We start from the raw sequence: 26,107 nt of genomic DNA, 5'->3' as shown, positions 1-26,107 counted from the left end.
TATTCCATTTTCCTTTAGATTCGATCGCTGTTGCTCACTCTGCCTCTTGTGGTGTATTTCACAGAAAAGAAAGAATTGCCAGGCGCCTGGAAGGGATTGAAAATGACACTCAGCCCATCCTCTTGCAGAGCTGCACAGGATTGGTGACTCACCGCCTGCTGGAGGAAGACACCCCTCGATACATGAGAGCCAGCGACCCTGCCAGCCCCCACATCGGTGAGCGTGGAGCTGGGTGGCCCATTTTCCAGCAGGCTGCCTGGCTGGTTACGAGTTGCCCTTTCCACCCAGTGGTATCAGAACATGAGATATTCCACAGAAGTGAATTGTGTGGATATAATTTTTTTAGCACAAGGTTTCACTCTGTCACACAGGCTGGAATGCAGGAGTATGATCATAGCTCGCTGCAGCCTTAACTCCTGGGCTCAAGCTCAAGGGTTCTCCCGCCCCAGCCTCCTGAGTTGCTGGGACTACAGGCTTACACCACCACACCAGGCTAATTTTTTTTTTTAAACATTTTTGTAGAGACAGAGTCTCACTGTTGCCCAGGCTGGTCTCGAACTTCTGGCTTTTAGTGATCCTCCCACCTTGGCCTTCCAAAGTGCTGAAAATACAAGCGTGAGCCAGTGGACTTGGCCTAATTTTTTGTTAAATGTATTTGTTTTTTGTTTATTTTTATTTTTATTTTTTTTAGAGACAGAGTCTCACTCTGTCACCTAGGCTGGAGTGCAGTGGCCTGATAAGCTCACTGAAGCCTCAACCTCCCAAGGTCAAGTGATCCTCCCACCTCAGCCTCCCAAGTACCTGGGACTATGAGCGCGTGCCACCATGCCTGGCTATTAAATAGATTTGCTAAAAACAGCAACAACATGTATGTCATCTCTGCCCCGCCTCACGGATCTGGCCTTCCATGTCACAGCAGTATGAAATGATTCCCCTCGCACATTGTTGGGTAACGGAGGCCAGTCATTTTCCTCCCTAGACTGGGGCCCTCAAAGGCAGAAGCTGTGTCTTTCTTCACCCTCAGGGCCCAGCACAGGATCTGTGCTCTAAGATAGGGGCCTCTCAAGGTTCTACCCCAGTACAGGGAGCGGCTGCTCTCAGCAGGGAGCGCTAGAGTCAAAGCTGCACCTTGAATGAGTACGGTTCTTACTCTGGAGATGCAAGAAAACTTTCTATCTAAGTTATCTTAATGTAGATAATTTTAAATACGTTGCATATTTATTTCATATTAAACAGTATGTTGAGTGCACGTGACTCAGCTTTTCCCTAATCACTCAGTCATTGTTGTCATCAAATATTCAACTTGACCTTAGGAGAGGAGAATGCACGCAGGGCTGCTCTTCCCACCACAGTCCCTGGCTCTGAGGAGCTGTGCTGCTGCTTTTTATTTTTTTTATTTAATTGTATTTTATTTTTGGAGATGGAGTTTTGCTCTTGTCGCCCAGGCTGGAGTGCGATGGCAAGATCTTGGCTCACTGCAGCCTCCACCTCCCAGGTTTAAGCGATTCTCCTGCCTCAGCCTCTGGAGTAGCTGGGATTACAGGTGCCCGCCACCATACCGGGCTAATTTTTTTGTATTTTTAGTACAGATGAGGTTTCACCATGTTGGCGAGGCTGGTCTCGAACTCCTGACCTCAGGTGATCCGCCTGCCTCGGCCACCCAAAGTGCTGTGATTACAAGCGTGAGCCACTGTGCCCGGCCATGCTGCTGCTTTTTATAGCCAGTGTTTTCTAGTTTCTAGCTCAGAGACAGCTGTTGATCTCATTTTATGATGTTATCAGTTTGCTTGTCTCTACAGTTTCCAATTTCCTGTGGCCAGAAAGCTAGAAAACTAAGATATTTTAAAATCACATGCAATTATTGAAAAAAAAAAAAAAAAGGCTGGGCTTGGTGGCTCAACACCAGTAATTCCAGCACTTTGGGAGGCTGAGGCAGGAGAATAGCTGGAGCTCAGGAGTGCAAGATTAGCCTGGACAACACGGCCAGACTCCACCTCTTAAAAAGTAATTACACGCTTGAAATATCAATACACAGATCAGAGTCCCAAAATTTATAGCCAGAAATAAACCGTAGTGTACCCGAAATGGTAATCTGTGTAGTATATGTGAAGTTTAAGCTTCACATAGTAGTGAGAAAAGGAGGAATTATTTAATAAAATCATAATGAAAAAAATGGGTTTGCCAGAGGGTGGGAAGAGGCATATCTCTCTTCTCAATTCATACCAAACTCCAAAATTAGTTCCAGTTACTCACCTGTTTAGTTTAAAGAAAATAATGGAAAAGATACATGAATATTTAATTCAGGTGGAATGAAAAAGGCCGTATGGGAAGGGTTAAGGTAATAATGGAATGCCTGTTAGATAGACTGTTAGGACCCTTAAATGATATCTTCAAAATAGATTTCCAAATATGGGAATTTTTTTTTTTTTTTTTTTTGAGACAGAGTCTCACTTTGTTGCCCAGGCTGGAGGGCAGTGGCATGATCTCGGCTCACTGCAACCTCTGCCTCCCGGGTTCAAGTGATTCTCCTGCCTCAGCCTCCTGAGTAGCTGGAATTACAAGCACGCACCACCATGCCTGGCTAATTTTTGCATTTTTAGTAGAGACGGGGTTACACCGTGTTGGTCAGGCTGGTCTCGAACTCCTGACCTCGTGATCTGCCTGCTTCGTGATCCGCCTGCCTCAGCCTCCCAAAGTGCTAGGATTACAGTTGTGAGCCAGCTGGGAAAACATTTTTATAGAATACGGAAAATATTTTTATAGAACATTAATAACTAACTATTTTATAAAGAAAAAATTATATTAACTAGAAGGAATATATAAAAATGTTATTAGTTTGTAGGGTGATGATTGATAGGTTTTTTTTTTTGTTTTGTTTTTTGAGACAAGGTCTTGCTCTCTTGCTCAGGTTAGAGTTCAGTGGCATGATCGATCATAGCTTACTGCAGCCTTGAACTCCTGGGCTGAAGCTATCTGCCCACCTCAGCCTCCTGAGTAGCTGGCACCATGGACATGTGCCATCATGCCCAGCTAATTTTTAAAATAATTTTTGTAGAGGCAGGGTCTCACTATGTTACCCAGGCTGGTCTCGAACTCCTGGCCTCCAGCCACCCTCCCACCTCAGTTTCCCAAAGCGCTGGGATTACAGGTGTGAGCCACTATGCCAGGCTCATATTAGATATTTCCTACACCAGGCATGTGTGTTATAACTGGGGAAAAAAAACACTTCTGTAAAAAAGAAAAGCCTGGTGAATAATGATATGGGCCATATCGTTATGGTTACTCTCAGATCCCCGGAAACCAGCATCCATCACTTGTCCAATGACGGCAGCTCACTTGTCTGCTGTCTTTCCCAGAGGACCCAACTCATCCTATGGCCTCCCACGTGAAATACTGAACTCCACAAAAAAGGGTAAATCAGTAAGGGGAAATAAGCACTGAACAAAGACTGAGGCGCTCTGGGGAGTGAAGGGGCTGAGCTGAAGTTAAAGCCACGCCTTACGGGGCTTGCAGAACGTGCACCATTCACAGCCTTTGTAGATTTCACTGCCGATCTCAGACTTCTTCAACAGCCCAGGTAAATAATCAGTTTAGGCAAACACACCTCGGTGAGAAACTGGTCCTTCACAGCATGGGCACCCAGGTGTGTGCTGTGTGCAGTAGAGTGTCATTCTGTGTGTAAATACATGTCTTTACTTGAAATCTGCACCTCTCATCCATGTGACCTTCTTGTAGGCCGATCAAATGAAGAGGAGGAAACTTCTGATTCTTCTCTAGAAAAGCAAACTCGATCCAAATACTGCACAGAAACCTCCGGTGTCCACGGTGACTCACCCTATGGTTCGGGTACCATGGACACCCACAGTCTGGAGTCCAAAGCCGAAAGAATTGCAAGGTACAAAGCAGAAAGAAGGCGACAGCTGGCAGAGAAGTATGGGCTGACTCTGGATCCCGAGGCCGACTCCGAGTATTTATCCCGCTATACCAAGTCCAGGAAGGAGCCTGATGCTGTCGAGAAGCGGGGAGGAAAAAGTGACAAACAGGAAGAGTCAAGCAGAGATGCTAGTTCTCTGTACCCCGGGACCGAGACGATGGGGCTCAGGACCTGTGCCGGTGAATCCAAGGACTATGCCCTCCATGTGGGTGACGGCTCTTCCGACCCGGAGGTGCTGCTGAACATAGAAAACCAAAGACGAGGTCAAGAGCTGAGTGCCACCCGGCAGGCCCATGACCTGTCCCCAGCAGCCGAGAGTTCCTCGACCTTCTCTTTCTCTGGGCGAGACTCCTCCTTCACTGAAGTGCCACGGTCCCCCAAGCACGCCCACAGCTCCTCCCTGCAGCAGGCAGCCTCCCGGAGCCCCTCCTTTGGTGACCCACAGCTATCCCCTGAGGCCCGACCCAGGTAAGCATCCAGTCCACGCTAAGCACCCTGAACGCAGGACAATACCTTCTTTTTGCCTCTCTGTGTGATAGGGTTTGGCTATTCTAAGCATTATGTGGAAGTCAAGGCTTATTGGAGAAATATCATAGTATATGATTCTTTTTTTTTTTTTTCTGAAGACAGGGTCCCACTCTGTTGCCCAGGCTGGAGGGCAGTGGCACTATCATAGCTCACTGCAGCCTGGAACTCCTGGGCTCAAGCAATCCTCCTGCCTCAGCCTCATAAGTAGCTGGAACCACAGGCACATGCCACCACGCCCGGCTAATTTTTACATTTTTTTTTTTGTAGAGACAGGGTCTCCCTCCATTGCCCAGGCTGATCACAAATTCCTGGCCACAAGAGATTCTCTTGTTTGACCTCCCAGTGCACTGGGATTACAGGCATGAGCCACCGTACCTGGCCTAAGATTCTTACATTTCAGCCATATCAAAACAGGTTCTACCAAAGCAGGAAGCCTCATGTTCTTTTTCTTTGTGCGTTTCTTATGTTTTTTTTTTTCTTTTTCTTTTCTTCGTAATTCTTTTTTTTTTTTTTTTTTATACTTTAAGTTTTAGGGTACATGTGCACAATGTGCAGGTTAGTTACATATGTATACATGTGCCATGCTGGTGCGTTGCACCCACTAACTCGTCATCTAGCATTAGGTATATCTCCCAATGCTATCCCTCCCCCCTCCCCCCACCCCACAACAGTCCCCAGAGTGTGATGTTCCCCTTCCTGTGTCCATGTGTTCTCATTGTTCAATTCCCACCTATGAGTGAGAATATGCGGTGTTTGGTTTTTTGTTTTTGCGATAGTTTACTGAGAATGATGGTTTCCAGCTTCATCCATGTCCCTGCAAAGGACATGAACTCATCCTTTTTTATGGCTGCATAGTATTCCATGGTGTATATGTGCCACATTTTCTTAATCCAGTCTATCATTGTTGGACATTTGGGTTGGTTCCAAGTCTTTGCTATTGTGAATAGTGCCACAATAAACATACGTGTGCATGTGTCTTTATAGCAGAATGATTTATAGTCCTTTGGGTATATACCCAGTAATGGGATGGCTGGGTCAAATGGTATTTCTAGTTCTAGATCCCTGAGGTTTCGCCACACTGACTTCCACAATGGTTGAACTAGTTTACAGTCCCACCAACAGTGTAAAAGTGTTCCTATTTCTCCACATCCTCTCCAGCACCTGTTGTTTCCTGACTTTTTAATGACTGCCATTCTAACTGGTGTGAGATGGTATCTCATTGTGGTTTTGATTTGCATTTCTCTGATGGCCAGTGATGGTGAGCATTTTTTCATGTGTTTTTTGGCTGCATAAATGTCTTCTTTTGAGAAGTGTCTGTTCATGTCCTTCACCCACTTTTTGATGGGGTTGTTTGTTTGTTTTTTTTTTTGTAAATTTGTTTGAGTTCATTGTAGATTCTGGATATTAGCCCTTTGTCAGATGAGTAGGTTGTGAAAATTTTCTCCCATTTTGTGGGTTGCCTGTTCACTCTGATGGTAGTTTCTTTTGCTGTGCAGAAGCTCTTTAGTTTAATTAGATCCCATTTGTCAATTTTGGCTTTTGTTGCCATTGCTTTTGGTGTTTTAGACATGAAGTCCTTGCCCATGCCTATGTCTTATGTTCGTTTTAAAAACAAACTGAACAGGTGTCATGGGGACACTTTCATGGACTCCTCACTTCAGGACCCTCTTACTGGGTTTCTCACACCCCTTTCATAGTTTATCTTTTCGCCGCTTTTCTGTAATCATATCAGAGACTGATGATTGTTGGTGACTGCTTTTGTTGCTGTGATTAGAATCACAGAGCAGAAGAAGCACCACTAACCAGTGGAAGCATCTCAGTGCAGAGCACAGAAGTATGACTGCAATATACACGAAATAGAACTAGAATGCCTAGTTCTGTAAGTATATCACACACTAGGACACAGGTATGTGTGAGAACCCCGCATTATGAAGATCAGCCATTAGAAAACCACTGTGTAAAAGGATCCACTCAAGATAAGAGCAGCTGCCATTTGGAGAAATTGAAAAAGGTATGAAATCAGAAAGTCAGATCACAGAAGAGAATATATGTTTACTTCCAAATTTAAATTTTAAAAGTGTGATGGCTATATTAAAAGTGCAATTTACTTAACTGTCCTGCTTAAAGCTTTGGGGTAATTGTCTAGGTGGATCTTAAGTGTATTTCTCAGTTCAAACAAGCAATAGTTTCCCAGGTGAATTGAGAAGGGATCAGAACCTAAGGTCAGGGAGATTCATTCTGAAAAAAAAGATTCATATGTGGGAAACACCCCTATTTTTTTCCCACTGGGACACAGGGGTGCACACCTGGTCATCTCTAAGTGGCAGTAACACATATGAAGCAGACCCTTGTGGTACTGAAATGTATTAACCCAAAGACCTGTCACCACATACTCGAGCATCCAGACTGAAATACTTAGAGAGATCAGCTTCCAACAGAATTAAAAGGTAGATCCCAAGGATCCATTTTGAGCACCTTTTTTCAGCCTTTAGTTTTAACTGGAAATGTAGGGACTGTGAGTTACTGTCTCATATTTTGAAATGAAGGTCTTTTGTTTGAGGAATTTGCATTTCATCGTAGAAACCACGTTCTTGGTTTAGTTACTTTCTACCAAAGGAAGTTCTTCCTGTGTTTTGCAAGTAGGATGAAGAACCTAACAGACTCCAATTTAAAAAGAATATCAGAGATATATAATTACACTGGTTTAAAAGAAATGGGGAATCTAATTTCAGATTGCCACATGATGAGAGCTGTTGAAGTCGTTATCACGGTATCTGAGTTAGTCACCTAGATCACATATAATAGATTCTCAAATAGATTTTAAATCAGTTATAATAGTAATTAAGACTTTGTTGAGCATCCCAAGTAAAGACAGGATACTTCATATTTCGTATGAGTTAAAATCTTAATATTAAAAAAATGTATATAACTTGTCTTAAGACCTAGAAAAAAGCATTGTTGACATATTTAGGCCTGTAATAAAATAAAGCCACTTCTTTGTAGGTTATTTTGAAGATGCATGTTACCTAGAAGTTTTCATAAGCCAAGCCTTAGCCTCACAGCACTTTACTTTCATGAAAAAGATTTAAAAGAATTAAGAAATTGTAAGGACTTCTAGAGAGGTGCATGCCTTATTTTCTAAGCCATTAAAGGTATACAATTCTATGATTCACAGGCAAAGAAACCCAAAGTAGTTTATATATTTATTAGGAAAATACCTGGGACATATTTACATAAAGAGGGATGGAAAATGTGTGACAAATTTGACATTTAAAAAAATTAAGATTTACATTGTAATGACAGCAGTGATTCAGGTTGTAAAGATTGATTTACAGTGGATTAAAATTCTGCTTAGATAGTCTTTATCTAGAACCAGGAAATTCAACTTTCAGAAAGTCATTTTCTGATTCCTATTTAGGGAGAAGTAAGATGAACCAAAAAAAATATGTGGTAACCCAAAACAGTAACAAAAGAAACCTCCTTGGTGACCTAAATAACTGTATATGAAAATAATAATGTCATCTGATATGGAAACATGTAACCGAAAACTTTAAAATCAACAAGTGAAGACAAATAGTACCCATGAATAATGTTTAATGCTGTGGTTTTTTGTGGATTTTTTTCTGTCACTAAAATGGAATATTTTTCTCACTGCTGCACTCTCTTGTCATCTAGCTCTGCCAAATTTTTGGCTATTAAATCTCTGAATCAACTCATTCCCATTTAATCATTTTGTTCTGTGCTCGCTAGCAAGAGGCTGTCTTATTATTTAAATACGAATACGATGACACTCATGAATATACCATCAAAAGACCACCAATAGTGTCCTAAATATTCAAATGTGAGCACCATCTCCAATGCTCAGTTTTTGAATGTGCTCACGTACATTAACACCTGTACACATCTGTGTATATATACAGAATAATCATTAATTCTTATACTTCACTATACTGTACTCATTAGCATTATAGGCAAAATAACAGTCTTTAGGACAATATTTACCTGAATAATACATTTATTTTACAATTCTTTAGTATTCAGTTTATATGATAAAGAAGATTTTTTAAAAAATAGTTAATTGATTAGTTGATATTACAGGATTTTTAACTCAGAAATCCTGTTAGATGCCCAGGAATTCAGTTGGACACATTGCTCTGAAGAAAACTAAGAATACACATAGTAACGAAATAGGTGAAGTAGAAAACAATAAGATACTTCCAGCCCCACCTCTCTAACTGTTACAAACCTGTAAACTTGAAATTTCAGAAATGGTATTATTTGCTGGAGAGGTAGTGTTACTGATTATGAACCATTCTTTATTAATTCCACCACTGTGAGTTTTAGAATAAAATTAAAAGGGATTTAGGTCCTATGGATTATTCAGATTTTTAAACACCTGAGCTTGAGCTTCTACTACTAGAAATTCCGAATCCAAAGCTCTTGTTGAATTTGTTACTTTATGCATCTCACGTATCTATATAAAGAAAATGTGCTGTATTTTTTACTTTTATGAGTGGAGAAACTCACTGTCTTCAGTCCTGCTGTTGCCTTTGCTGAGCATCCGGCCATCACTCTCTGTTCTCAGGGAACTATGTGACTGGCAAAGGGAATGAAATGAAAGGTAGACCTCATTTTCTTTCTTTCTTTTTTCTTTTTCTTTTTTTTTTTTTTTTTTTTTTTTTTGAGACAGAGTCTCACTCTGACTCCAAGCTGGAGTGCAGTGGTGCAATCTTGGCTCACTGCAACCTCCACCTCCTGGGTTCAAGCGATTCTCCTGCCTCAGCCTCCCAAGTAGCTGGGACTACAGGCATGCGCCACCACACCCAACTAATTTTTGTATTTTTAGTAGAGACGGAGTTTCACCATGTTGGCCAGGATGGTCTTGATCCCTTGACCTCATGATACGCCCACCTCGGCGTCCTAAAATGCTGGGATTACAGGCGTGAGCCACCACGCCCGGCTGGTAGACCTCATTTTCTAGTGGTGATCCACTCTAGAAAACCCTCGTTTATTAGTTTTGTTTGTCATTACTGTACTGCAGCCCCTCACCACTCTTTTCTCTTTAGCAAATTGTGTCCTTAGTAGTGAGAACATGATATGGAGGTTTCATGCAGAGCTGAGGCTGACATTGGACCCCTGGGAGAGTTGCCATTGGTGGATGATGGTTTGGGCAGGGCTCCCCATGGATGCCAGAGAGCCGCCGATCGGCTCAGGAAATAGACCAGGGCACCCTCTGGAATGCAGCTTCTGTAACAACTTGACACGGTGCAGCCTCAGCCACTAAGAAAGGAAGGGGCTTGTGCTGGGCACTTGGAGTTTATTTCTGATTGCATTTGCTCATCTCCTGATGAGAGATTTTAGTCTAAAAACCGTCTCCAGAGCCTCAAGCTCTCTTGGCTCAGTGGTCTGTTTCCATGCACTGAGAGAGGTGTCTGCAGGAGAGCATCGTGCTTGACCTTCCACGCTCTCGTGTCCACTAGCAGGCAGGTTTTCTGACACAGGCTGCGGAATTCAGGACAGTGCATCATGGAGAAACATACATCTTGGGGGCCATTCTAAAGAACAGACATCTGGGTCCTCCTCACAGCTTATTCTATTACTGGAATGGAATTGGCTTCACCTTTCAGTCCCTGTACCCCCAAACACCTGTGCTCCCTGCCATACTCTAGAATCCCAACTGTTAAAATAGATGGGTAAGTCATTCCCTCTTTTTTTTCATTTCATCCTGTTCTTATTGTCAAGTGACAATTCTTATTCTTTTTTTTTTTTTTTTTTTTTTTTTAGAAAAGGTCTCACTCTGTTGCCCAGGCTGGAGTGCAGCAGTAGCACAATCTCACTGCAGCCTTGACTTCCTGGGCTCGAGCGTTCCTCCTGCCTCAGCCTTCTGAGTAGTTGGGACTTAACAGATGCACGCCACTATGCCTGGCTAATTTTTGAATTTTTTGGAAGAGATGGGGTTTCACAATGTTGCCCAGGCTGGTCTGGAACTCCTGGTGTTAAGCGATCCACCCGTCTTGGCCTCCCAAAGTGCTGGGACTACACGTGTGAGCCACCGGGCCTGGCAGACTATTCCTATTCATTGGACTAAATGTAAATATATCTCCCCAAACCCTAGCTACTATGTACACTAGCTAAAAACTCAAAGGTGTGTGAGATTTTAAATGCAAAATTTTTCCTTGAGCCTGTGTCCTTGCAGATTTTGTACCTGTACCTATCTGCAGAACGGTCATTAGCAGTTTTTCCAAACAAGCGACTTTTAGCAAATTAACCGTTAATTTTAATGAGATTCAAAAGTTAATAGCCATTCTTAACGTTTTATAATTAGAAGCTGTTATATAATTAGAGCTGGACACCCACATGGAGAAACTAATTTGACTGTGCTGCATTTGACTTCACTTTGGTAACAGGAAGCACTTTTTAGTCTGTAGACCCTTGGGAGTTGTAGGGAGTTAAAGCTGATCATTATATACTATTATATACTTAGGGATACAACCCAAGGGCAACCCCTGGCCTTTATGAAAACCTGGAGTGAGTTATTATTTCCTGGTAATACAATTCTCTGCCAGCCAGTTGCTGCATCAAAACAGTTCTGATACACACACCTAAAGTCACCACTTCCTCATTCTGGTCCCCAATAACCCTATAAGCCTCTCCCCTTGTAGGTGACCTCTGCCCTGTGAAGGGTTGGCTCACCCCAAGATTCCATAAAATAAGTTGTCTGTTTGTTTATGAGAACAAGGCTTTTTAAGTACCATATGTAATACATGCATATAAATGCATGTATTTAGATCAGATTTCTGGAGGAGGGATTGTAAGTTTGATGACTAAAGGAGGCAGGGGAGAGGGGAGAGATGGAGGAGGAAGAGAGGTAAGAAGGAGGGGGAGAGAGTGCGAGAGAACAGGATCATGTAGGCAAGAGAGCACGTGTACCCGGAACAATGGTTAGAAACTAACAAGGTGAAATTTAATGAAGTCTTGAATTTAGATGGAAAAAAAATCAGTGCACAAGTTCAAGATTGTGGAAACCTGATTTAACAGCAGTTCGTGGGAAACAGACCTAAGGGTTTTAGTTGACAGCAAGTTCTTTATATGACTGCCAAAGTGATTAGTCCAATCTTGGGGGACATTAATGAAAGTGAGTTGCCAATAGCATAGGTAGGCAATGGTCCCCCTGCGTCCTGCAGTGGTCAGATTACATCTGGATATCTCTTTCTAATAGGGCCACTGACAAATGTGTCCAGAGAAGAGTCCACCTTCCCATCTGCCCTGCTTTCTTGACCTTTCCAGGTTGTTTTGTTGTGTTTTGGTAACTTCTCTCTCTCTTAACCCATGTATGCCCGAGGTTGCAATTTTTTGAATTTTTGCAATCAGACCTTGGTGCTGTCCTTGAGCAGTAGAATATAAATAACTCCCACTTGCTTAGCATTCCAATAATGGAACACTAGGCATAAATGGGCTAATAGAAACTGGGACCATTTTTGGAGTCACTTCCACTTTCTGTGGTGTTTAGACTCTCGCACCAGTCTGCTCTCATTATCATATCGTGAGTTTCCCAGAGACAGAGCTGGAGCTTGGCTCAGCTTGGCAAACAGAGCCCTGATGTTATTAGTTTGGCTTCTGGGTTGCTGATGATTGTACTGGAAGGGAAAAGAGGAGAAACAGGTCATGAGCCAAATGAGGAGTCCCACAGATGCCACTTCACAGGCACCCTATGTCATAGGAAGGATATTCAAATGTCCAGCACCTAACGGGTACAAAAAGTAGTTAGAAAAAATGAATAAGACCTGCTTTGTGTTAGCACAACAGGGCGACTATAGTCTAATAATCGTGCATTTTAAAATAACTAAAAGTATAATCAATTGTTTGTGACACAAAGAATAAATACTTAAGGGGATGGATACCCCATTCTCCATGACATGATTATTACGCATTGCATGCCTGTATCAAAACATCTCAGATACCCCATAAATACGTACACTTGCTATGTACCCACAGAAATTAAAAATTTAAAAAAAAAAGACAACAAATGGCAAGCACCCTAGATCATGGCTGTCATACCCAGAAGAGGATTTTAGCAATTTCGTAAGGATTTTTTCCAGACACGGCACTGTGAATTTGGTGTTAAGCTCTTCTGTAAGTCTGGTAAGGATGATTGCAGCGATAGCATTACTTTAGTAGAAGCTTTAAGAGATGAGTAGATACCTTGCTCTAGTCATTTTCATATCTCCTTCACTGCAACTGGAATATCCAACAATTTCAAGTGACCTAGAAAATCATTTTTGAATGAATGTTCTGCTATTTTCTGTGTTTGCTTAAAGTGTCACCAAACTATAGCAGTGCTGTTTGAAATAGCCAATCTGCAAACTGTTTATCAGCACACAACTATGAGACACTCGCACCCAAATGCAAATTGTGTTTGGTTTCCTTCATTGAGAAAATCAAGCTGTGAAGAAAACGTCAGCTGAACTACACAGCAGGCTTAGCGATGTTGTTAATTTCCCTTCTGGTGACAGCCTTTTGTCTAATCATGCAGAGGGACACCAATCAGTGGAACGCACTGTGAGCAGCACTTGTTTATACGACAAAGCTCTTTCTGCTTTGTCTGGGATTGGGGTTCTTGTATGTGGTCTTGAGTCAGGCTGCTCATAAATATCATTAAACAGTAAATGGGAATCGTGATAAGTGAGCAGAAAATCATCGGCCACTTGTGGAGCGTCGTGAACTGAGTCCACAGCCCCGCGAATGGCTGATTCTAGTCTAGTCTCATGATGAAAGCTGTCAAGTCCCCGATTACCTTATTCTAGGAGTGATGGTTCCAATCAGGAGATGAGGGGATGCCAATCCAGCCTCGCACCTTCCTCAGATTCCAGCATTTTCTGACAATTGTGCTTTCTGCACATACCTCCTCCCTCCCTCCTTTCTGGGCTGCGGTTACAGCATTCAGGCCTTCACTGAGATTAGCTCAAAGGGAGACTGGAAGAAATTGGTTATCTCACATGTTTATCCTGCTTCTGCCCCCAGAAAATGCTACATTTTCAGTACTCAAGAAGTCCTTACTCTGTAACCCAACGATGACATATTTTTTAAATGAGGTATAATTTACATCAAATACACAGATTTTAAGGATGCAGCTTGGTGAGTTTGGGTAAATGTATAATCATCATCCCAGTCAGGATAGGAAACATTTCCATCATCCCTTGTGCCTCTGTCCACCAGAATTGATTCTTGACCGCATGTGCAAAGACTGGTATAGCCTCACAGTAAGTATCCTGTGTTCAACTCATTATGTTGTATAAAGCAAATCTCCCACTGTTAATTTCTTAACCAAACCTTATTTATCAAAAATAATTAAGCGTAACATTTAGGAAGACTTCATGAAATAATGTCACACAAGATTAAAAGACATGAAGAGAAAATAAAAGAGGAAAATAACCACCATAATTCAGATGTGATCTCTCTTTTTGTTCATGTTTTTTAAAAAATCTCACCTGCTATTTTACTGTCTCTCCAAAACAATGCCCTGTGGGCCCCTGAAGTAAATTTTGTACTTTGATGGAATGAAATATTTTAAAATCTCAGTTGAGCATCGCTTTGCCAACCCCTCAGTATTATGATCAGGCTGCGCTGCTCCAAGGTGGAAAGCTCAGTCCACAACCTTCCACTGCCTGACTCCTTTGATTTGATATTGTTCATTGGAGAAACAAAGGAAGAAGGTAGTTAGGTTCTGCAGAATTCATAGGTAATCGGGTAACTCTTCTGACGGTGGAAACGGCACTAGAGAGAGATCCACATCCAGTCAGGGTTGTGGCTGTGACCAGGAAGTTCTTGGTGTCTTCCTTGCTTAACCTTAGAGTCCATGAACACTGGCATCCCAACCTCATTCTTACCCATTCAAGCCAAGGAAGCAGCCATTTTCCAGAATGTGGAAGCTTGTCACTCTGGAAGGCTGGAAGGAAGGTGCATGCTGGGGGGTCCTGCTGCACTGGGTCCAAGCCCCATCCTTCTGTTACCAGTCGTGTGATCGTGAGCAGTTAATGTCCTTTTTCCCTTGCACCTCACCATCTGCATCTATAAAATGGAGACGAGAAGACCTCTTAGAGTTGCTGTGGAGATTATCATTCATCAGTTAATCATTCCATGAGCATCTGAGACCTACTGTTCACCACACATAGTTCCGAGTGCCGAGGAGATGAATGTGAACGAAGTCTCTCTCTCTCCAGAGGCTGTCACATCCTAGCGAAGAGAGAGGGCTGTAGCAGAAGGGGCAGGTGGTAGGGATGATGTTAGTGAGACCACAGATCGGGGAGGGCCTTAGAACCACCGCAAGGGCTTTGGGGTTTGCCCTACTTGATATGTTGAGCCCTAGGAGGGTTTGAACAAGAGGAATGACTCATCTGCCTTACATTTCAAAGCATTATGCTGGCTGCTAAGCGGAAGATAGACTTTAGTGGGGCCAGGATGAAAACAGGTAGAATAATGAGGAGGTCATCTTGGTAACGCACGTGAGAGGCGGTGGTGGCTTGAACTAGAATGATGGCAGCACAGGTGGTAGAAAGAGGTTATATTTTGAAGGTACCCAAGAGAACTTGCTGATGAGGTAGGGGTGGGGTTTGAAAGAAACAGAGGAGTAAAAAGCGAGTCTCAATTTTTTGGCCAAGGCAACTCGAAGCAGGGATTTGGCATAGGGAAGACTCCAGTACAAGTTGGGACAGAGGGAAGTTAAGAGTTCATTTTCTGGGCATGTAAATTTAAGACGTCTATTAAATATCCAAGTTGAAATGTCAAGAGCACCCTGGGGCTGTGTATCGTGGGGGTGAGGAGGAGAACTCAGCTAAGAAGTCTGATGGGGGAGATGGGAGACAGAAGAGGGGAGTGTCGAAAGTGTAGATGCTGCTGCACAACTCAGAAGTGGCTGCATTCTGTGAGATCATTGCTACACAGCGCCCAGGACAGCGTGTTCACTGTTGGTGTCTGATTTAGGCGTCTCCTCATCCCTCTCTCATTTTCATTTCAGATGGCAGATAACCTCACCCAAATACATGTCATAGCCAACCTCAGGGATCCTGAAACCCTTACTTGGAGAAATGCTTTTCTAGATCACTCCTGCTTTAAATGTACTAAAGACAAAGTCAGGCCCTCCTGGTGAGGCTGGACTCACCCTGCTGAAAATCGCATGACTTCTGAATTGGGTCTCCATAAGTATTATGTCTTCAAAGCATAAAAAGAGAAATTCATAAACTTTCATTGCTGTGTTGACTGTGAAGAAGGAAAAAGATAAGAAAAGCATTTAAAAGGCTTATTATGTCCTAGGCATGATGCCTTCACATACTTTGTTTGTTTATTTATTTATTTATTTATTTATTTATTTATTAGAGGCCGAGTCTCACTCTGTCTCCCAGGCTGGAGTGCAGTGGTGCAATCATAGCTCACTGCAGCCTCAAACTCCTGGGCTCAAAGGATCCTACTGCCTCAGCCTCCTGAGTAGCTAGGTCTACAGACACATGCCACCATGCTTCACTAACTTTTTAATTTTTTAAATACAGACAGAGTCTTGCTATGTTGCTCAGGCTGGCTCGAACTCCTGGCCTCAAGGGATCCTCCTGCCTCAGCCTCCAAAAGGGCTGGGATTACAAGAGGCGTGAGCCACCACACCTGGCCTCTTTGTTTCTTATTACATACATTTGTATTTATTTTACAGATGTTCCTCAACTTAGAATGGGGTCGCATCCCAATAAATCCATCATAAGTTGAAAATATTGCAAGTCAGAAAAACAAAGGAAACATTAAGTCAAAAATTCACTTAATACACCCAACCTACCTTAGATATGCTCAGAACACTCACATTAGCTTGGATTTGGACAAAACCATCTGGCCATGCAGCACACTATGGAGATGGGTCGTTCCCCTCATGGTTGTATGGCTGGTGGCGATCTGGGAGCGGCGGCTCACTGCCTCTGCGAGCATCGCAGGGGAGCATCGCACCACACACCACCGGCCCAGGAGAAGAACAGAATTCACAATTCCAAGCACAGGCTCTCCTGAATGCCTATCACTTCCACAACATCTTAAAGTCAATAAATCTTACATTGAACCATTTTAAGTCGGAGACTGTCTATATACTCAGACTTTGAGTATTCACCACCCTGGTGGTAGTCCTTTGGTTTTTGGCTGGTTTCATATTTCAGGTGTAATAAGCAAATGGAGCCCAGTAAGTCCCCTGTGTCTGTGTGGGATTTCCATTTTATAAATGCTGAGCCAACATTCTTACACAAGCCCTTGATGGAGTTTGACGGTGATATTGATCAAATTTTATTCTTGTCAGTTAAGGTCATGTTCGAAAAGTTGTATTGCACTTCTTTTACAAAGCCCTCTGTTATACAGAAAGCATTCAGCCTAAACATAACCCTGTGAAGGCGGCAGATTCGTTATAGGAACTTGATGTCATTTCCAACAGCAGGCGTCTGCTGGCCCCTCTTGCCCTCTGCACACTGGACTGAGTTGCACTGCCTTCGTTCCTGGCTGCAGGCGATGCGCCAAACTCTTCCCATCAAATAAAAGTTGATGAATTGGACCCTTTATATTTGGAAATGAAATGACTTTACATACATCTTAACTTTTTATTTGCTGTGGGCAAAATTGATGTGATGCAGAGGATGGGGAGGTGGGGTGATAGTTTTAGGAGTAGCAAGGCTGAAGGATCTTACTGGAGAAACAGATCAGTCCAAGCCTAGACCGAGATAGAGGTCAGTGGTTACAGCAAGACGTACAATAGCGGTGCCAGGTACCTGCCTGTCCCCTCCAACCAAAACTCAAACCAAAATGATTTTAGAAAATTAAGTTGATTATAACTTTTATTTTCTTTTAGAAATTTCTTTTTGAGCTGCAATGTGTTTCCAGCCTGGTGTTGAAAAATTCTTGCAGATAGGCTCATAAAGTTTTGAGCTGGTAAACATTGTAACTAGCCTGTAGAATTTCCTTTTTTTCTTTCTACATTGTAAGAGGAGACAGGGCAGTAATCTGAGTGTTCCTCCTTTGACTTGCTTTATGTTGTTAAAACAAGGTTGTCCTTACCCATGATGTTTCTCTAAAATACCTTCAGCCTGGTATAATTACTCGTTCATATTCTGCTTGGCATCATACTCAGTCGTGTGTTGAGGAATGAATGTGTGGACTATATATTACCTAGCCTACCTGCGGTTTAAGGTTTTTAATGGCTATGTTGATTTATGATTCATTTTCGTCGTTCCTTAGCTCATTACTTGCACTTACTAGGAGCTCAATAAATATCAGCAGAATGGACCTGAATTAGTACTTGTAACTCTTGTGTTGGTCACATTATTCAGTGATAATTTTAAAAGGAAAATGTGTAATAGCAACTAAAAATGTGATCCCATTGACTTATTTTATTTTATTTTTATTTATTTTAATTATCTTCTTTATTTGAAATGTGTTGTTTTACATAGATGCTATTTTTATATTAGGCTATTTACCAACGTGCCACTGCAAAACTTATGGAAATTAAATTACCTTTTACTTTTAGTCAGCTGCTTACAAGAGAATTGCCTGGTATTTGTGGGCAGAGTGTGACTATAATAGACTCCGTTCTTTTTTTTTTTTTTTTTTTTGTGACAGAGTCGTGCTGTTATCGCCCGGGCTGGAGTGCAGTGGCATGATCTCGGCTCACTGCAACCTCCACCTCCCAGGTTCCAGCAACTCTCCTGCCTCAGCTTCCCGAGTAGCTGGAATTACTGGTGCCCACTACCACACCCGGCTAATTTTTTGTATTTTTAGTAGAGATGGGGTTTCACCATGTTGGCCAGGCTGGTCTTGGACTCCTAACCTCAGGTGATCCACCCACCCCGGCCTCCCAAAGTGCTGGGATTACAGGCGTGAGCCACTGCACCCGGCCAACAGACTCCTTTCTAATAATTTAAAATTACTTGGGAAAACACATGATTTGATGGCCTTAGATACATTTATTTTTACCTCTTGATTTTAGTAGTGAGCCACATGTCCTGGAAACTCCATGAAGTGAATATGAACTCTATAGCAAAATGTGCTTATACATTTTCAAAAGACAGAATTATTCTTTTTTTCCCTATAATATTCCTGTTTGTTTATTTTTTTAAGTTTTAATTTAGGTTCAGGGGTACATGTGCAGATTTGTTATGTAGGTAAATTGTCACAAGGCTTTGGTGTATTAAATATTTTGTCACCCAGGTAATAAGCACAGCAGCCCACAGGTTGTGTTTCCATCCCCGCCCTCCTGCCTCTCTCCTCCCTCAAGTGGGCCCTCATGTCTGCTGCTCCCTCTTTGTGACCATGTGTACTCCATGTTTAACTCCCACTTATAAGTGAGGATTATTCTTAATAAAAATCAGCCTTTAGGTTTTAAGTTATGGTAAAGTCTGTGTATATGTTGACGTTTTAATAGAGATTATCTGGTTTTGTTTTTTGTACACAATAGTACAGGGAAACCCAAACATGAGTGGTTTCTCCAGAAAGATTCCGAAGGGGACACACCTTCACTTATCAACTGGCCTTCCAGGTACCCGCACGCCGGCCCTCTGGGGCTTGTGTGCATGAGTGTTGCTTCCTCCTGCCTGACCACACATCAGCTAACACCCACTCTCCTCTTGCCTTCTTTAATACCAGTGCACTTGAAAATCACGTGGAAGTTACTTTCTAATCATTTGCTTTTCCCCTCCACATGCCCTAATCCATGCTAATAGTATCTCTCCTTCCCCCTCTTTTTCAATCTTTGTCAATCTTTCTTGATTGACAAACCTTTTACTTGACCTTTTGCTTTTCCCTTCTCACCAACTCACATAGGACTGGCCAGTGAGGGGCAGTAGTGAGCACCCAGCCAGGCCCTGGGCTCCTTTCCATAGCTGGACTCGCTAGCCGGCGTCCCATCTGCTCAGCTTCCCACTGCTCCCAGCCCTTCCAGCCTCCTTGCTTTCATATCTCCTCATCTCTAAACCAGTAGTTAATTTTCAACAGTTAAATTTAGGGCATGTGGTTTTAAAAGCAAACAAAACCCCCTATCATTTCATTTTTAAGACTGGGGGCAGGGAGAGGCGGAAGGAGTCAGAATGAGTAAGTCATGGAAGGACAAAGCTCCACACACAGAGTTTCTGACAGTCACTTTGTTCTTGGCTGAGGACAACATTCAGATTGTCTCTGATCAGGAGCACGCATTCCACAGGAGAACTGGAACCGCGCTTCAGTCTCCTTTTGATTAACAAACGTTTTAAGTATGAAAACCTCCAACACTGGCTCATCTCTGGGAAAAATAACAACTAAGAATGTTTTCTTTCCCTGAGTTGTTCATAGTTACCACCTCTATGTGCGTCTGTGTGGATTGTCCTTTAATGACACATATATAGATACACTGCCTCGTACGTTAAAAAAAATATATAGGAGTTTTTATCAAATTTAGCAGGGTGCACTTGTCATTAAATAAACTATTCTTTTCCATACAGTGCACATCATAAATAATTACTTTTGCCAATTAAGCTTAAGTAAACAGTCTAAATTCCTCTCCCCGCAAGAAATCCCTTTTCCCACTCCAAAAGCCCTCTTTGCTTTTTAAAGCTGAGCCCTAATCAGTTTTCCATTCTCAAGTAGTTGGAATTGTGTCTCCTTTCCCACTACATGGTACTTCAAAAACCAAAAATAAGAACTAGATAACACTATTAAACATTTACTCTTTGCTAAGCACTAAGCCACGTGCTTTGCAAATATCACATTACATTATGTCACTATTATTTCCATTTAAAAGGTAAAGCAACTGAGGCTTACTAAGGGCAGGTGAGTTGCCCAACACTACACAGCTCAACCTGACTGAGCCAGGATCTGAGCAGAGGTCTCTTCCAACCCCACAGCCAGAGCTCTTGGTTTCTTTGTTTTGCAGTAATGGAAAAAGGTCTGTAGCTTTTGAAAAGGATGTCAGTTTTGCTCTCAGATATTTGAATAACTTTAGAAACAACTGGAGCAATCTCTCTTTATTTTTATTTTATTTTTGTTTTTTAGGGACAGAGCCTCTCTCTGTTGCCTATGCTGGAGTGTAGCTGTACAATCATAGCTCACTGCAGCCTCAAACTCCTGGATTCAAGTGGGCCTCCTGCCTCAGCCTCCTAAGTAGCTGGGACTACAGGCACACGCCACTGCACCTAGATATTGTTTTTTACTTTTGTAGAGACAAGATCTCACTATGTTGCCCAAACTGGTCTCAAACTCCTGGCCTCAAATGATCCTCCTGCCCAGGCCTCCCAAAAGGTTGTGATCACAGGCATGAGCCCCAGGGCCCGGCCTCTCTTTTGGGATTCATTTTTAACTAAGAGCATAACAGCAGGACAGGGGGATGGTGGTGGGAAATGTTCACTTCATTAGTTCTGTCAGCAACTATCTTTTCTCTAACATTCTTTTGGTGCTAGAATTATTCATAATGATGCCCAGACTGGCCACATGCCTTCTGAATGAATGAATATACTCTGCATTGCATGAAAAAGCTTGTGAATGTCTAGTTGAGTGCTTTAAAAGAGAGGTGATTGTTGTATCTTGAACTAAATAAAAAGCATAAATAATCGTGAGTGCTCTTACATTTTCAGACGACAATGAAATTACAGCGTTTGGTCAATAGGTGTCTGTATGCCAGGAACCTTCCCCCACAGTCCGTGTTCTGGGCGTGTACATGAGGAAAGCTTACTGATTCAAGGGACCAGGCTCATTATGCCCTAATGCATGCTGGTGGTGGATATTAACGCATTTTTCTGTGGCTTCTGGGTATTTATTTAGTCAGAAGGGACCCATTCTCCCCCAGGATAGCATCTGACCCCTGCCAGCTTTTACAGGGGTAGAGTTAGTTTTGCACCTCCTGGGCATACATATGCAAATTGGAAACTCAACTCAGGATCATCTGACAAGTAGTTGACATTAGACACCAAAATGCTTTTTCACAAGTTATTCTCTCTCAGGTCAGTTTCCATTCACTGGTAATCTGTGATCTACGCATGCTTTCCTCCTGTGAGGCCGTTACTGCACTTTGCAACTTAAATCCTTTTTCTTTCTTAAAGAGTTAAAGTTAGAGAAAAATTGGTGAAAGAGGAAAGTGCTCGAAACAGCCCTGAACTCGCCTCAGAGTCCGTAACTCAGAGGAGACACCAGCCAGCGCCAGTCCATTACGTGTCATTTCAGTCTGAGCACTCAGCCTTTGATAGGGTCCCCAGCAAGGCAGCAGGCTCTACACGACAGCCAATCCGTGGCTATGTCCAACCCGCAGATACCGGTCACACCGCCAAGCTAGTGACGCCAGAAACCCCAGAAAATGCATCTGAGTGTAGCTGGGTAGCATCAGCCACCCAGAATGTCCCCAAACCTCCCAGCTTGACGGTTCTAGAAGGTGACGGAAGGGATAGCCCAGTTCTCCATGTCTGCGAGTCAAAAGCAGAAGAAGAAGAAGGGGAAGGAGAAGGAGAAGAAAAAGAAGAAGATGTGTGCTTCACTGAAGCTCTCGAGCAAAGCAAGAAAACCCTACTGGCTTTGGAGGGTGATGGGCTAGTGAGAAGCCCAGAAGATCCCTCTAGAAATGAGGACTTTGGTAAGCCTGCTGTGAGCACAGTCACCTTAGAGCATCAGAAGGAACTGGAAAACGTGGCACAACCCCCTCAAGCTCCGCACCAGCCCACTGAGAGGACAGGCAGGAGCGAGATGGTTCTCTACATTCAAAGTGAGCCTGTGTCCCAAGACGCCAAACCAACTGGTCACAACAGGGAAGCCTCGAAAAAGCGCAAGGTCCGTACCCGCTCTCTGTCAGATTTCACAGGCCCCCCTCAGCTCCAGGCCTTGAAGTATAAGGACCCAGCTTCCAGGAGAGAGCTGGAGCTGCCCAGCTCCAAGACCGAAGGGCCTTATGGGGAGATCAGCATGCTGGACACAAAAGTCTCTGTCGCCCAGCTCCGAAGTGCGTTCCTGGCATCTGCCAACGCCTGCAGGAGACCTGAACTGTAGGTGATGCTTCACACGCCCTCCAGCTGTGTCACTTGCACGTCCCTGGCAGAATGATTCACTCCTCGACCTGTGTTGTGTTCTGCATTGAATCATATTAGCTTAGCTCACAAGTGCGTGCAGGGCGACTATGCGGAAAATGGCTCAAAAACTACCACTCTGCTTCTGCCTACTAATGGGGAACTAGTGGATTGGGTGTCTGGAATGTCTCCTTCCTTACGTGCATGGTAGAGGCATGAAGAGGGGTTTGGTGGTGTCTGTCCCTTGACTCACGGAGATGCATAATCCTTTGCCATCTTCTCTTTCTCTGTCTTCGTTTGCCTTCCTTATACTCTCTGCCCTTTGATTCTCAAAGCAAATCACGGGTGGAGAGGTCGGCTGAAGGACCTGGCTTGCCCACCGGTGTGGAACGGGAGAGAGGGTCCCGGAAACCAAGACGCTATTTTTCTCCTGGTGAAAGTAGAAAAACTTCCGAGAGATTTAGAACCCAACCTATAACTTCAGCAGAACGAAAGGAATCGGATAGGTAGGCATGCGTATGCGCAGTTTCCTCATCCAGGAACGTGGCAATGACACAGGAGTTTTACCACACTGACGGTCTTGACGCTATTTATATAGGATGTTGGCGATTCCATAATTGTTCCATCTAACCTATAAGCGTTATTTATTTGGCTTATTTAAAAGTCTTTTTAAAGAATATTAGCCTTTACAGCGGTATTATGATACATACACAATTTTACATTGCATTCAGATGATAAGAAGTAAGAAACATTATTTTTCTTTATTTAATGGTTTTAATGTTTTTTACCCCTTGTTAAATTAGACTCCAGATTGCATATTCACCAGATTTTACAGTGAAAATAACTGAGGAATTTTATATTCATTTTATAAATGTCCATCTACTTGTTGTATTTGAGTTTTATACTGAAGTGTCATATACTATTGCATAGAAATGGTAAGATTTGTCTGGAAAATTGTCATCAGTGGTGTTTAACAAGTTGTTCTTGTGCCTGGTCTCTCTCCACGGGGTGTGTACTTGGCTGGGATTGTGTGCACACACGCTCCACAGTGTTGCTTCACAACTGTATGTGTGTTTTCACAACTAGAATTGCTACCAGGAGGTTATTTCTTAAAAGAATTTAATTGCATTTTTATTTTTACTTTCAGTATGATGTTTTATTTCGATCTTCTGCTCCCACCTGCTAATGTATTATTGTTATTTGCTAATGTCTTTCCTAGGTGCACTTCACATTCAGAAACGCCAACTGTCGATGGCAAGTACCTGTTTCCCTTTTTTTTCTTCTTTATTATCTCATCTAGACTGGATTTAATAATAAGGTTTTTGGCTTTTTGAGAGAGTAAGATGATGGAGCATAACAGTGTCTCCCTTTGCTGCAGGTTTTCGTTCTGTGGATATGATAAAATCTAGTTGAAATTTTCAGACAAGCTTTCCCTTCTTTTTGAGAGCAGTTAGAGAATCATACAGTGACCAATGTAAAAACAACTAATTCAAACCAAAGGAGCAGGTTCTTCTTGTTGTTGCTGCTGCTACTATTTAAAACTAAAAGAAATTCCCCCCATAAAATATATTCATGAAATCTCGATCAGACAAACGTTAGAGTAGAAATCCCTGGACAGAGTTTGCTTTGGTTTGGCTGGGTTGAATTGCAAGGGAAATTAGTACCTTTTCACTGAGCAGAAAGAATGGGCTCCCTGCAAGGGGAAACTACCACCAATTATTATTTTAGTGCACCTATTGTTGTATTCAAAGATTTCCAGGTCAGCCCTGAAAGACTTTTTGGAGACCGAACTTAACCTTCTCTAATGATGTCCAGTTTTTAATTTGTGGCTTTTTGCAGATGAAGAAAAGGTGGATGAACGAGCCAAGCTGAGCGTCGCCGCCAAGAGGTTGCTTTTCAGGGTAAGCTGTGCTGACGTGCTTGAATAGAGATCCCTACTGGGTGCAGTAATCCCAGCTATTTGAGAGGCCAAGGCAGGAGAATCACTTGAGGCCAGGAGTTTGAGACCAGCCTGGGCAACACAGTGAGACCCCCATCTCAAAAAAAATAAAAATTGTAAGCCTTAGGGAGGGGGAATCTTGTGGACCCAGCCTACTTCATGCACCTCTGGGCATGCTAAGGCCCTCCTGCCTCTGGCCCACCTGTTGTTCTCTTCCTAATCTTTGGCTGGTTGTGGCCACCTCATGGACACAGCATGAGTGTACACTTCTGACAACAATACGAGGTGCTCATTAGTGACCCCTCCTGTAGGTCCTGTAGGAGAACAAAGTGAAGAATTTTTACTACCCCCATTTCCTTTCCTTGAATTTCTTTGTTATTTTTAATTTTTTTTTAGAGATAGGGTCTCACTCTCTCACTCAGGGTTGAGTGCAGCAATGTGATCATAGCTCACTGCAGCCTCAACTTCCCAGGCTCAAGTGATGTTCCCACCTCAGCCTCCCAAGTAGCTGGGACTACAGGCCTGTGCCAGCATGCCTGGCTAATTTATGCATTTTTTGTAGAGATGAGGGGGTCTCACTTTGTTGCCCAGGCTGGTCTTGAACTCTTGGCCTCCAGCAATCTTCCCTCCTTAGCCTCCCAAAGTGCTGGGATTACAGGCGTGAGCCACCGTGCCCAGCTCTTTCCTTGAATTTATAAGGGTTCCACAATACTTCTAATCTTAGGAGATGGAAAAATCTTTTGATGAACAAAATGTTCCAAAGCGACGCTCAAGAAACACAGCTGTGGAGCAGAGGCTACGCCGTCTGCAGGACAGGTCCCTCACCCAGCCCATCACCACTGAAGAGGTGGTCATCGCAGCCACGTAAGTGCCCACAGGACTTCTCAGCCTTGTCTATAGTGTCTTTTTTTAAAAAAATACATTTAAAGAGTGTTCAATGAAAATGAGGCATTGGGGAGGTGATTTAGCTAGAAGCCACAGAGAAGTTAGTACTAAGGGATTTTGTTTACTGTGGTCTCTCTAAACTTTGTAATGGGATGTGTATCTTCTAGAAAAACTTGAAAGGAGTTTTTGTTCTATTTTGTTTCTGTCTCTGCATATTGATATTTTAAAAATCTCTTTGACAACGGAAAATAGAAACATGAAACTTGGTGGATTGCTGTGATGAAACCCCAGCTTCCACGGTCACCCGCTCCTGGCCGGTGATGCTCAGCCCGTGTGCCATTCATTTCCCCTTTCCTCCTGTGCTATTTTCAAGCAAACACTAGAGGTCTTACCATTTCATCCATAAATATCCCAGTACGCCCCTCTAAAAGATAAGGTTTGTTTTGTTCTTAATTGCCAGAAATCTCTTTTCTTTTTTTCTTTTTTTTTTTTTTTTTTTTTTTTTTTTGAGAGAGAGTCTTGCTCTGTCACCCAGAACGGAGTGCAGTGGCATGATCTCGGCTCACTGCAACCTCCGCCTCCTGGGTTCAAGCGATTCTCCTGCCTCCACCTCCCGAGTAGTTGGGATTACAGGCATGTGCCACCACACTCAGCTAATTTTTGTATTTTTAGTAGAGACGGGGTTTCACCATGTTGGCCAGGCTGGTCTCAAACTCCTGACCTCAGGTGATCCATGCCTCAGCCTCCCAAAGTGCTGGGATTAATTGCCAGAAATTTCTAAAAATTAAATTG

General features: G+C 42.9%; 1 protein-coding gene and 1 non-coding gene across 5 annotated transcripts in view, besides 2 other annotated features; both read left to right on the top strand.

Moving 5' to 3' along the window:
• The window catches only part of SVIL (supervillin), a 279,599-nt gene that overhangs the window by 181,938 nt on the left and 71,554 nt on the right, over positions 1-26,107 (top strand). For 2 of the 4 annotated variants that reach the window (NM_001323600.1, NM_003174.3), the window contains exons 7-11: positions 65-216; positions 3,736-4,402; positions 23,711-23,745; positions 24,331-24,392; positions 25,155-25,294. In NM_001323600.1, the coding sequence (NP_001310529.1) occupies positions 65-216; positions 3,736-4,402; positions 23,711-23,745; positions 24,331-24,392; positions 25,155-25,294 (1,056 nt within the window). Of the gene's footprint in view, positions 1-64; positions 217-3,735; positions 4,403-18,929; positions 19,011-21,540; positions 22,471-22,826; positions 22,998-23,710; positions 23,746-24,330; positions 24,393-25,154; positions 25,295-26,107 lie in introns of all 4 variants that reach the window. The other 2 variants (NM_021738.3, NM_001323599.2) reach the window with 2 other exon arrangements.
• On the top strand, positions 9,902-9,995 carry MIR604 (microRNA 604). Its single transcript, NR_030335.1, has one exon. It is a non-coding gene; the product is annotated as a microRNA 604 (primary transcript).
• Positions 15,888-16,387: an enhancer, noted in NCBI's record as "H3K4me1 hESC enhancer chr10:29827541-29828040 (GRCh37/hg19 assembly coordinates)". NCBI's record gives its function as "activates a minimal SCP1, AML or CMV promoter by ChIP-STARR-seq in primed H9 embryonic stem cells {active_cell/tissue: H9 hESC(primed)}" and the evidence as "EXISTENCE:reporter gene assay evidence [ECO:0000049][PMID:30033119]".
• Positions 16,388-16,889: an enhancer, noted in NCBI's record as "H3K4me1 hESC enhancer chr10:29827039-29827540 (GRCh37/hg19 assembly coordinates)". NCBI's record gives its function as "activates a minimal SCP1, AML or CMV promoter by ChIP-STARR-seq in primed H9 embryonic stem cells {active_cell/tissue: H9 hESC(primed)}" and the evidence as "EXISTENCE:reporter gene assay evidence [ECO:0000049][PMID:30033119]".

Source organism: Homo sapiens, chromosome 10 (genome assembly GCF_000001405.40).
Source record: "Homo sapiens chromosome 10, GRCh38.p14 Primary Assembly".
In the NCBI taxonomy this organism is placed as follows: domain Eukaryota; kingdom Metazoa; phylum Chordata; class Mammalia; order Primates; family Hominidae; genus Homo; species Homo sapiens.
The sequence above is the reverse complement of the archived record's forward strand: the minus strand, read 5'-3'. Positions and strand labels throughout refer to the sequence as shown.